This window comes from Homo sapiens, chromosome 9, assembly GCF_000001405.40.
Source record: "Homo sapiens chromosome 9, GRCh38.p14 Primary Assembly".
Taxonomy (NCBI): Eukaryota; Metazoa; Chordata; class Mammalia; order Primates; family Hominidae; genus Homo; species Homo sapiens.
Window position 1 is genome coordinate 40,499,230 of NC_000009.12, and position 13,205 is coordinate 40,512,434.

General features: G+C 45.0%; 1 pseudogene across 1 annotated transcript in view; it reads left to right on the forward strand.

Moving 5' to 3' along the window:
* Window positions 1-751: 751 nt before the first annotated feature.
* LOC102724580 (methylenetetrahydrofolate dehydrogenase (NADP+ dependent) 1 like pseudogene) overlaps window positions 752-13,205 on the forward strand; it is a 78,514-nt pseudogene continuing 66,060 nt past the window's right edge. Inside the window, exons 1-3 of the transcript NR_136300.1 lie at window positions 752-1,078; window positions 1,422-1,529; window positions 3,902-4,054. The product of NR_136300.1 is annotated as a methylenetetrahydrofolate dehydrogenase (NADP+ dependent) 1 like pseudogene (transcript). The remainder of the gene's footprint in view (window positions 1,079-1,421; window positions 1,530-3,901; window positions 4,055-13,205) is intronic.

The following is a 13,205-nucleotide window of genomic DNA, read 5'->3' on the forward strand; positions in this document are numbered from 1 at the left end:
ACTGGAGGTGGAAGTGTTGGAGATTAACAGCCAGATGGAGGGGACGGGGGGAGGCCCTGGGTCAGTCCTCAGGGAACCCCCATTCTGAAGGGGGAGAGGGAAACTCAGGCCCAGTCCTCAGGGGCCCCCAGTCTGAGAGGAAGGAGGACACACGAGCCATATTTGCAGAGAAACACCAGCCTGCGAGAGGAGGTAGAAGCCCAGGCCTGGCCCTCCGAGGGCCCCTAGTCTGAGGAGCAGTCCACCTGCCCTCGGGAAAACACCTCCCTTAGGAAAGGCCAGCAAGGCCCCCGTAAAGGAGCCACAGCTGGATCGGGGCATGGGGCTCGGGGCCCAGCGGTGTGGGAGCTCCGGGACCGAGGTGCAGTCAGGAGAGACCCTGGGGGCCAGTGGCAGTCCAAGAGGACTTTTGGAGCCAAGGCCTGACTGGGTCTCAAACAATGGGGCAGGCAGTTTGGGGTTTCAGCAGGTGGCCCGGTGCTGAGACACAAGGGAGTTGTTTCTGGTCTGCAGACACTGAGGACACTTGCTATGTGGCGTGGTGGATGGTGGGTAAGTCCTGGGAATTTCTGGCACCAGGTTCCCTGGGTGGGAAGGGGCATAGGATTCAGTTGTCCAAAGCTCAGGTGTGGGAATGGAACTGTCCTGTAGAGGGTGCCAAAGACCAGGTCTGGAAACTGCATAGCCCCAGTCCCCACCCCCACACACACCATCCCACCCCTTCCAGCTTTTTCTGCAGATCTTTCTGCAGGGGTGAGGCAGGGAGAGGAAGGGGTCGGCCGCAGTTCTGGGGCTTCCTAGTCAGAAGCCCTCTGTAAGGCACTAACTTCCCTCTTCCCTCTGCAGATTTTTTTTTTTTTTTGAGACGGAGTCCTACTCCACCCAGGCTGGAGTGCAGTGGCACAATCTTGTCTCACCACAGTCTCTGCCTCCCAGTTCAAGTGATTCTCCTGCCTCAGCCTCCCAAGTAGCTCGGATTACAGGCATGCACCACCAAGCCCAGCTAGTTTTTTTGGATTTTTAGTAAAGACGGGGTGTCACCATATTGATCAGGCTGGTTTCGAACTCCTGACCTCAGGTAATCCACCCGCCTCGGCCTCCCAAAGTACTGGGATTATAGGTGTGAGCCACTGTGCCCGGCCTCCCTCTGCAGATTCTACATGGGCTCTAAGCAGCCTCTAAATTGCCTGAACACCTAAGGCTTATTTGCTAGTTGACATCTGATCTATTCTGACACTGAAAATTTCAGTGCTTTAGGGTGCTAAAAGGAAAAAAGAGGGTTTGCAAGGAATCCTGCAGTTGCTGAGGGGGTACCCTGATAAGGGAATTTTAAGCAATTACAGTAAGTGTCACTAAACTTTTTAAAAAATCTTTAACCAGATTAAACTTACACAATTTTGTTATAATTTGTGTTTCTGCAGCTTCCAATTGTGGACAAGATAAGGACCATTGCCCAGGCTGTCTATGGAGCCAAAGATATCGAACTCTGTCCTGAGGCACAAGTCAAAATAGATCGTTACACTCAGCAGGTAAAAGTTGTACTTTTAGGGGAAAAGAAAAAATTCACCTTAGGCTCTCAGAATACTCAGCTTGACTTGAGGATTTGTACATGTCTCACCAGCTAACCTTTGCTTAATCTATTTTCTGGTTAACAAAGATGAAAGCAATATCCTCGGGTAGAGTGTACACTATATTTAGAACTTTATGGTGAGGCATGTATCCTCTGATCCATGCACCATTTACTTCTGTGACTATAAATGTGTCTGATATGGGTGGTATCCCTGTTTGTAGGTGATGTGTGATCTTTCATCCCTCCCACTCAGCCCAGAACGTTGAAACTATCCTTTGGAGTAGAGCTGCGGAGTCAGATTTGCATGAATTGCAATGCTTCCTCTTCCTTACAGGCCTCTTACTACCTTAAAAATGCTAGCAAGGTGCCAGGGTAGGCAGATAGGAGTGCAGCCTATAAAGATGGGAATGTTTGCTGTTCTTATGCAAGCGGTTCATTGGCTTTTTACTGAGCTGGTCCACTGAGGTTGAAGGCTCCATCATCTTCTACCTCTAGCCACTGAGAAAGGCAAGTAGGCAAACAGCTGGGAAGGTGGCTACGATCTGACAGCATGTGTCATCACCTAGTCCAGTGACAGTCATGATGAATCAACTCCATTACAGGAGGCTCAGCCACCTTTTACCAAAAGGACCATGTGCCTCCAGTGTCCCTCCTACTTTGGTGTAATCAGATAGATAGAAGTCAGAACATTTTAAGAGCCTGTTGGCTAAAGAGCTTCATGATTGGTAGTGTTGACCTTATCTTTAAAAACAATCTCCAACTCCTTATTCTTTTTTGTAAACCCATTTGAAATTTTGTTAAATGCTACCATTGCCAGCCAGGGTATTTGTTCTCCTAGGTTTGGTAAAATAGGAACTCAGAAAGTTCTAAATTCTTAGAATTTTCCCTGATGTTCTTGGCTTACCCTTTACAAAAAGGATTCCCAAGCACTGCTCTGTGCCTAGGCATTGTGGTGAAGTTTTCATTCATGTGCAATGAACCAAGTAAAATAAGGTCATTCTCATGAGGTTGCTTTGTTTTTTATTCCCCGAGTTTTTAATAATGATATTTAAGACTATCATTTATTGTAATATTAAGTCTTTTCTCCTTTCAGTGTTAAAATGTTATTTCTTTTATGAAGTAATCTGGTGACAGTATATAGCATACTGGTTGGTTTCTGTTTCTTTTTAATATGCCATGCCTACTAACAAAATTTTTACATTAGCAAACCTGTAGAAATTACTTTAATATTTAACCATGTCTGAAATTCAAAATTCTGGCACCATTCTGAAAGGCAGTTGTGATTCTCACTCAGCAAAATTCTTATCAGTATAGAAGAGTGGAGATTTCAAAAAGAAAATGGCCCCAAGCCCAAGTCCTCCCTAAGTTGATAAGACTCTAAGATCTTCCAAATAGTTTTAGGCTAAGTCTTATGAAAATTTGACTAAAGATTTCATTCCCTTTATCTCTATCAAGGAAATACTCCTTAAAAGTCGTGTCAACCAGGCACGGTGCTCACACCTCTAATCCCAGCACTTTGTGGGGGCAAGGCAGAGGATCAGTTGAAGCCAGGAGTTTGAGACCACTCTGAGCAACATAGCAAAACCTCCATCTCTATTTTTATTTTTTTTAAAGTTAGTGCCAAGTATGTGGTTGCAATGAATTAGCAAAGCCTCTAAAGGAACACTGTGTGCCATTTAATCAGAAACAGGCTTATAGGACACTGTGCTTTTTGTGAGACACCACATGTGACTTCCTGCTCTTTCACCTTTGGAACTCTGGGTCAGACATAGACTTTGGTCCTTAAAAACAAGAAGCTTAAATAGTGACCTCATCTTAGCTCTTGTAATGTAGTTGCAGATCAAATAACCATGATTCATAAACCAACACAAAGGAACCCTTTGCTTCTTGACTGACTCCAGAATGAGTGAACAACATGACTAAGAGCCTAGTCGCAGAGCCTTTCTCCAGACTACCTTGCTGGGTCCCGGATATTAATAGTCTTGGAAAGCGGTTTCTACAGCTGCTGCTTTGCCTGCAAATAGCAATGCTTTTCCCAAACATGCACATAACACTGCCTTCTCTTAACGAGAACCTCCAAAATAAACAATAGTCACCCCTGACCTACTAAACAGTCATCACATGGAGATGAGTTTTTATCCTTCACATGGAGATGAGTTTTTATCCTCACCTTCTTGCTTCTTCAGTGAACAAGTAGTAACAAGCAGCTCCTGCGTGTGCCTGGATCTGAGCTGGCATACCATTGCTGCCGAGACTGTATAAAGTGCAAATTGAAAAACACAGGAGACTCACGTCTATATCAGTGAACACATTTTCTTTCCTTTCTTACAGGGTTTTGGAAATTTGCCCATCTGCATGGCAAAGACCGATCTTTCTCTGTCTCACCAACCTGACAAAAAAGGTGTGCCAAGGGACTTCATCTTACCTATCAGTGATGTCCGGGCCAGCATAGGTGCTGGGTTCATTTACCCTTTGGTCGGAACGGTGAGTGAGTCACATTTTCCAAAATCCCTCCCCATTCTGCATTGTCGCAGTGCCTCAAATCGTTATGCTCCACCCGCTCTTTAAAAATCATGGATTAGGGAGAATTGGGAGTAATTAATAGTACAGTATTCGCTATTTTTCTAAACACTCTGTCTCACCTACCTTTGCCATTGTGCTTTGGGTTTTTCTTTTTTTAGATCATGTGTTCAGGATCCTTAGAGTCATAATACTAATTTCCTTCCTAAGGCAAGTAAGAACATAACTTGGGAGAATTCAGTCTATTTAAATGGTAGAATGGCTTAGGACAGTGGTTGTCAACCTTTGTCACACATAGCACCCAAAATGATGTAATCAGTAGGGTTGAATGCTCACACCAGACAGGATCTGCCCAGTCACCCTAAGGGCTGGGGAAAGCAGTCCTCACCCTCTCACTTCCCCAGCACATCAGGTGGGAAGTTCTGGCTTAGGAAATTACTGAATCATATGAATTCTCATTTTTGATGTTGTTGTGATGGGATTACGTTGCTATTGGTTGATTATTCTGTTATTTTGTGTTATCTATGGAGGTAAAGGAGATGAGCAGAGATATAAAAGCTTATCAAAGTGCTTAAAATCCATGAAGATTGGCTTCATTTGGTATAGCTACACAGTGATAGCCTTCCGTTGGTACCATCAGTGGCCTAAATTTGATTTCTTGTCTTTGGGAGTGCTCCTGAATTTGGTTTAGAATAAAAAAGAATTCTTAAAACCTGGCAGATCCCATGGCAAGAAAAGAAAAAAAATTCTAACCCATCATTATCATCATCATTAGTGCAAAGTGATCTGAGCTTAAACAGCATACATTATAATAATTTTTTATAATAAACCATGTGGCTCTATTGTGCAAACAAGCAATAGACAGACAAAAAGTGCAGATTCTTGCCTTGATATTTACATGCTTCATCTAATATTGGACACAATGTTTTTTCAATCAGCATCATTTGAATTCTTCCTGCATGTGAGGCACAGAGATTTTAAGATGAGCAGGTGTGAGATGCATGGATTTGAATAGCATAGAGGTATCTGGAGAGCATTGTGTTGGTATTCTGAATACCCTCAGATCCCAGGGGGATAACAGCTCATTATGCCTGGGGTAGAACTTACCTGGGCTGTGGAAGAAGAGGGGATTCTTCAAAAAGGGCTCAACCTCTGAACTGGCAAAACAGTGAGTTTTGACTCAAAGGCACCAGAGTACTAATACATGACATCCTCTCCTGGGGTGATCCAATGTGGCTGGAGTTGGATGAGGTGGGGAGGCTGGGGATGGGAATGGGAATGGGATTGGGATAGCAGGACGGGGTCACATGGCCAAGGATCTTGAAGACCATCTCACGGAACTTGAATCTGATCTCTACACACTGAGGAGCCACGGTAGGGTGGGTTTTTTGTTTGTTTCTTGGTTTTTTATTTTTTTGATTTTTTGTTTTTAAAGAAGGAGGAGAAGAATGTGGTCTGATGTGTATTTTAGAAAAATAGCTCTGGCAGCAATGTGGAGAATGTTTAGTGAAAAGAGAACCAGGTCCAGAGAGGTGGGTTAATTCAGCTGGGGCCAGAGGAAATCAAGGTCCGCACTTTGGCCACAGAAGTAGATACAGAGAGTGGGGGGTGAATTGCAGACATACTCTAAAAGTATCCTCCTACAGTAGGGGCCGGGTGAAGGGACTGTTCTAGCTTGGTGACTGGCTGGTGATGCCATCACCGTGTCATGGAAAGGACATGGGAGGAGGCAGATTGGCCAAGCCAGAAATGAGCCTGGCTTGAAGAGAGAGAGCTCAGAGGGTTAATAGGATCTAAGGAACAGTCTGTGTCTCCACTGGAAATACAGATACAGCTCTCCAAAGAAAGGGGCAGGAAGGTCGCCCTGGTGGGTTTAAGGATATGGGTGAAGGCACTCATTAAACAAGAGACACAGGGATAGCTGGAAATCAGTGAGAAGAGAGTAAAGGAAGACACCCCTGAAACACCCACTTTAATGCAGCCGACTCCTGGCAGGGGTGCCTTCCAGAAGGCAGGAAGGAAGGAGCAGGGGCATGGCAGAGAACGTCCAGAAAAATCCCACAGACACCGCTCACAGCAATGTTGACACAGAGAGAAGGGTCCAGATGAAATGGGTTCTGAATGACATTTTCAGGTCTACAGTTCAGATCAGCAGTTGCCAGGAGCTGGGGGAGGGAAGTGTTTGACTGCAGAGGGGCAGGAGGGAACTTGTTGGGATAATGGAAATACCCTATGTTTTGACATGGTAGTGATTCCATGGCTATATACATTCTTCCAGACTCATAGACCTATACACGTGTGTTGCCCAGGCTGGACTCAAACTCCTGATCTCAAGCAATCCTCCCACCTCAGCTTCCCAAGTTGCTGTGACTATAGGTTCGTGCCACTGTGCTGGGCCTGTGTATCATTTAGTTATACCTCAGTTAACAAAAATGGGTAGTGAAGAGCTTGCTGTATATTCCTTAGAATGGCCTCAGTCAGCCGGGTGCAGTGGCTCATGCCTGTAATCCCAGCACTTTGGGAGGCCAAGGTGGGGGGATCACAAGGTCAGGAGTTTGAGACCTGCCTGGCCAAAAGGGTGAAACCCCATCTCTACTAAAAATACAAAAATTTGCTGGGCATGGTGGCGGGCACCTATAATCCCAGCTACTTGGGAGGCTGAGGCAGGAGAATTGCTTGAACCTGGGAGGCAGAGGTTGCAGTAAGCCAAGACTGCACCATTGTGCTTCAGCCCGGGTGACAGAGCAAGACTCCATCTCTAAATACATACATACATACATACATAGAATGGCCTCAGTGATGGCCACTTTACTCCTGAGCTTTAGTTGGCAAAGGCCTTGGCTTAGGGATAAGAGGGTGGCTGGACAGTGCAGGCCCAGAGAGACTGGACCATCAGGGGAAGTGAGGGGTGATGGAGGTGCCCAAACAGAGCATGAAATGGTAGAGTAGATGAGAAGGTTAGCCTCGATCACGATCTGTCCTGTCCTACCCTCTGCGGACTCTAAACCCCGCAGCAGTTCACCCAACAAATTCATGCACTCGGCCAATGCTGCATAAGGCACTCAGCTCGGGGCTACAGGAAGCCCCAACCTAAAGAAACTTTCTCTGCTTCAGGTAGTTTACAGCTGGTAGACGCAGATAGAAGTGAATTAGCAAAGAAAATAGTTTGATATAAAAATTGTGCATTTAACTGCAACCTTAATTCACTTCTGAGCATTTAATAGCCATTAAACAAAAACCAGGGCCCACACAGTGGTTCACACTTACAATCCAAGCACTTTTGGAAGCCAAGGTAGAAGGATTGCTTCAGGCCAGGAGTTCAAGACCAGCCTGGGCAACATAGCCAGACTGTATCTCTACTTAAACCAAAATTAGCCAGGAGTCATGGTACACACCTGGAGTCCCAGCTACTCAGGAGGCTGAAATGGGAGGATTCCTTGAGCCCAGGAGTTTGAGGCTACACTGACCTATGATCATATCATTGCACTCCAGCCTGGGAGATAGAGTGAGACCTCTGTCTCTAAAAAAATGGAATAAAATAATAAAAAACACAATATAATTTAAAATCTTTGGAGTCACTAAACAAATATACAATGTGAATCTCCTCCCACTCCAGCTAACACTACCATATCCAACACCAGGTAAAGACCAAAGCCGTTCTGGGAAATCAGAATCTGTTGCCATGGCTCATGCCTGGACACCAGGCTGTCCGCTCCTGATGTCACTCTTTGACTTATGACTTGTTAGAAAATGAATGCGTGGAATGGCCCTGGAGGAGCCGCTGCAGCTCTCTGGGTTTCCTGAAGTGAGCCCTCTGTGTCATTATCTGGTCTTCTCAGCCCTCAGCCGAGTTCCTCCTGTGGCCACATGTGGGGTCGCAGTGAGCATCAGTGCACAGTGATAAAATCTGGAACAATAGGGTGTTGGGTGTGAGGGAAGGGAGTGGTGCCTGACTACAGAAGTTCCTGGAGGTCAGGAAACTCTCACTGGAGGCAGTGGCCCTAGAGGGCTGCTTTCTATGACAGAGCAGGAAGCTGCATGTGTACTGGGACACATGCAGCAGAGGGGCCAGGATCTCCTAATAAGGACTGGTATTTACTTTTACTTGAACCCATTCTGGGCCTTACCACAGTGTGCTGAAATGCCTTGAACATTCATCACCCATGTGGGAGAAAGGATAGTAATTTCCTGCTGAGATGACTGAGGGGACAGGGAATGGGGACACCAGGGGGACTGGCTCCTGCAGGTTGGAAAATTCTAGCAAAACGAATCACTCTTCTGCTTAGTCACCCAATGTGCGCTTATTAGAGTGCTGCTGAAAAACATATTCGTCTATCCACTCCAGAAAGATAGTCCAAACTGAGACCTCAAGATCAGAAAGGCTCCCAATCTCCTGCAGGGTTCATTCATTTACTCAGTGAATTATTAAATGCCTACAGCACGCAGGGCCATCAGCCCAACGGCTATGAGAAAGAGATTCAGTCCTTTCCTCACAGGCCTTATGATAGACTCCAGTAAATAAAACAATACAGGCACAGAATGTGGCAGGCTTTATAAGAAAGCCTCTCTTGTTGTGTCCTCAAGGGAAGCAGAGAATCTCCCCTCTGGCTCTAGTTGGAGAATCCCAACCCAAGCAAGTCCATCTTTGAACAATAAACATCTCCAGTACTGCTGGCTTTGGAAGACCCCATGGTGAGATGCTGGAGCTTTTTTCCGCTCCTGATTTCACTTTCTAAATATTTACTTTTACTTTCCATGTTCACTTGTAGGCCAGATTTTTTTTCCTACCATTGAATTATTTCATCATGTTCTATTTAATTATTGTCTTAATTGGCATTGGTGACCACAAATAATAATAAATACTATTAACTGATGTAACAGCTTCACTAGTCTATTTAACTTCCCCATGCTGTTGTAACTGAAGCACCCAGCACAAGCATTCCCAGCTCGTGGACGTCTAAGACCTTTGAGGTCATTCTTACATGCATTGCTAGTGTTTTCCATATTCCTTGATGGTAACCAATTTTTCCTTCCTAAAATAACTTTCTTCATTCCTAGTAAGCTTCATATGTATTTTGTGTATTCTTCCCTCTTTTTTATGACATTATACATATTATTGAAAGCTAGAAAATAATACAAGATGCTTGACTGACATAATACCACTTAGTACATCTTTTTGTAAGAAATAGATTTTCTAATACAAATCTTTGATATAGGAAGAAATGAGCAAGTGTTTTTTAAGGTTTTCCAACCCTATATTCTACTACAAATTACCCTGTTATCGTATGCTTCCAAAATTCTTTCAAGGATTACAGTTTATAGTGTTCAATAAACCTAATAGTTTATAAAACTTCTCAAAAAATAATCTCATGCCAAAAATAATTTAGTAGTAGGTGGTCTTTGTCTTGTGGTCACATTGTTTTGATATTGTCTTTAAGTTTCTGTAATTTACAAGGGCTGTTTAATCAGTTGGCATAAATTTCATGACAAAAATGCTAATATGTAAGCAAAGTATATGAAATGATATTTTTGAGAAGTAAATTACATTCCATATAGAAAAAGACTAGAAAGACTACACCAAAACCTTAAATTAGACAGTGATATTATGAGTAGCTTTTTTTCTTCTCTTTTTTGTATAGATCAAATTACTACGTTGGGTGTATATCACTTTTATAACATGAAAATACAGTAAATAGGGCGATGATAAACTGCAAGTGCTTGGGGAGAAGGCTTAACTCAGGCCAGTTGCAAGAGAGTGAGAACACACACGCAGCCTGTGGGAGCGGGCTCCGTGCCATCACCTGGCCGGTCCTGGCTGTGTTGCTGTGTTTTCGCACCTCAAAAGTTGGGACAGCAAGGAAAGGCCATAAGAGCTAGAATGTTTCTATAAGAAGTGTATTCAGTATGATTTGTCTAGCTCTGACTAATGTGTGCAAACCCCAGATTCCACTAAGCAAATGCAAGATTGTTTTTCCCTGTTAATTTTTTCCTGGGCCCTTCTTGCTTACTGTGTTGGGCATTGGAGAGGGGGTGATTGACTTCTTTCTTCTCACAGTGTTTTCTCTCGCTCTCTTTTTTTTTTTTTTTTTTTTTTTTTTTTGAGACAGAGTATTGCTCTGTCACCCAGGCTGGAGTGCAGTAGCATGATCTCGGCTCACTGCAACCTCCGCCTTCCAGGTTCAAGTGATACTCCTACCTCAGCCTCCCAAGTAGCGTGGACTACAAGTGCATGCCACCACATCTGGCTCAATTTTTATATTTTTCATAGAGACTGGGGTCTCACCATATTGGCCGGGCTGTTCTCAAACTCCTGACCTCAAGTAAGCCACCACGCCCAGCCATCTCTCACAGTGTTTTTTAAAACAACAATGCATTTTCACAACAGTTGGCCTGGAGAGGTGTCCAACCAAGTTGGAATTCATAGCAGATATCCATTTGAAGTTAATTTTTGGTGTATTTGACTGTTTTCCATTGACTTCACATTGAGGCAGTGAGAGAGAATTGAAGAACTTAGAATATGAACCCTTTTCTCACTGGCAAACATGGGACATAGAGGCATGTCTTGACAGCAATTTATGGCAACACTCTGGGCTGGAATCTAGGGGTTAGGCAGCCTGGCCGGTTTTGTAAATTAGTCAGGCCACCCTCAGAGTCAGTTTGAGGGTTTAGTGGGAAGCCTGAATAAAAAGAGAAGTTAAACTTTTAAGAAAAGGGTCAAGCTTTAAAACTGGAATTGGCTTTTCAAATTTAATGAGTAAAAAGAAACCCCAAAACTGGAATTGTAATTGTGGAGAAGTACAAATTATAATATTTGGAATATCACCTACAAGGAATGAAACTATCCAGAAGCATTTAGATGGTAGTCATTGATTGTAGGGCATCTCTGGGGGCAGGGTGGCTCCTGGCACTGTAGAGAAAGACCATCGGTGCTTCCGTCTCCCAGTTGGAGGAAAGGGATACACTGTGGAGGTCCCAGCAGCTTAGGGCCTGCCCCCATGTGGTTATGTCTGCATGGTTTCCTTCCCTCTGTCTTCCTGTAACTCTTTCACCCTGGCCCCTGTGCCCTTTCTGGGCAGAGGGTGACAGGAGGCACTGCATGGGTGCATTCTTTTTTTGGTTTTTGAGACAGAGTCTTACTCTGTTGCCTGGGCTGGAGTGCAGTGGTGTGATCTCGGCTCACTGCAACCTCCATCTCCCAGGTTCAAGCGATTCTCCTGCCTCAGCTTCCCGAGTAGCTGGGATTACAGGTGGCCACCACTACGCCCAGCTAATTTTTTCCAATTTTAGTAGAGACAGGGTTTCACCACATTGTTCAGGCTGGTCTCAAACTCCTGACCTCGTGATTCACCCGCCTCAACCTCCCAACGTGCTGGGATTACAGGTGTGAGCCACCGCCCCCGGCCAAGTACATGCTTTTTTTCCTCTTGTTGGGATTGGCCTGGGCTATACCTATCTCATGGTGGAAGCCTGCCTAGGGACCAGGCCCTAGAAGACCAGCAGTTTATTTAACTGGGTTGGCCTTTGTCCCCACTCCCTGTGACCCGGCCCTGCCATATCTTTACCCAGGTGCACCACTGACATCATGGCTCGGCTGGACTCTGGAAAGCAGGAAATTGCTGGAGCATGTTTGGGCATCAATGATGTCACCCGCTACGAATGCCGGGTGGGGTTACTGGACTGAGGGCCATGAAAAAAGAAAGCTGCGGCCCTGCCCCGTGGACTCACTGCCATTCTGTTCTTTCTCACGTTTCAGTTCAGCTCACTTTGTTTTCCGTCCCCCTCCCTCTACTGTAAAAGTATGTACTCATTGTTTCATTTCCTGCTGGATCTGATTCAGGTCAGTGATGAAGTTCTTTGCGAGCTCAGTGGGGAGGCGTTTCCTCCCTTTCATACCGGCCCTGCTTAGGGATGCATGGTTGGTTATATACTTGCTTCACTCGGTTAGGCATGGAGGAGAATTCATTCAGACCTCATAGGTTTAAATCAAATGCATGACCCTTCACATTTTCCAGAGATTTAGACAGTTACAGTGAGACAATTAAACATTCACCCCCCAAGCTGCACTTGGAGATGTGTAAGCAGTAATGTAGTCATGCGCTCCCCATGATATGAGAGTGTGCAGAATGCCACTCCCCACAGCAGGTCCACCAGGACCTCCTCAGGGAGCATCTTGCCTACAAAATCACCCATCCCTTTTCCCCCACTTTCTTCACTTTCCCTACGTTTCCACTCCCACACCCACAAATAAACAAAGAAACTTTGAGCTTATTTTACAAAAGTCTTTGAAATGGCCCTCCTCTCTCCGATGCTCCTGGGCCCTGGTTTGGCCCCATCTGTGCAGTCTCTCTGATGAGTGTGAAATAAGCCAGGTTTGGCTCATGCTCTCCCTGTGAGCTTGCTCTCCCCGTGAGCCTGCCCTCTCCATCTGGCCTCACTTTGTTTGTGTCCCTGGGTCCTTTGTCTCTGATCCTGGGATCCTGGTGGTTTCCTCCTCCCCGCCCAGCTTGGGTCCTTTTCCCCAGGGTTCTTCCCTATCTCTACATCAGAATTTCCTGCTTTCTCCCAAATATGCATTTCCCTGGCCCAGGCATCCATTGCTTCCTCTCATCGTGAGGTCCCTGCAGCAGACTGCCAATGGTGTTGTGGCCATGCCTTCCTCCACAACCCAGGGAAAGCTACATGTGTGTCTGTCCCATAGGGAAGGAGTCATCCCTGTCTCTTCAGTGTGGCATGTTCAGGAGGAAGGAAAGTAACCAGCGTCATTCTCAACTTCCGGAAACTGTTTATCATATTGACAAGAAGAAGAAAGCTTTGCGACTCATGAGAATGATGTTTTCCTCTCTGGTACATAAGGTTATGTAGGTCCAATCCATTGTGTAGAAGATCTTTTCTCCCTTAATGGGATGTACACTTATTTTTAGCACAAGTATAAAACTACTTTAAATGAAGTCAGCCTCAGCCAGGGAAATATGCTGAGTAATAATGTTGCCAGGTACTATACCACTGAGTTGAGTTTGCAATTCACTGCTATTAATCCCTGCATGTTAGTTCTGAATTTTTACTCTTTGCATACGTAGAAAAAATGGTGTTTCTCTTCAGAGTCAAGGAGGGAAAA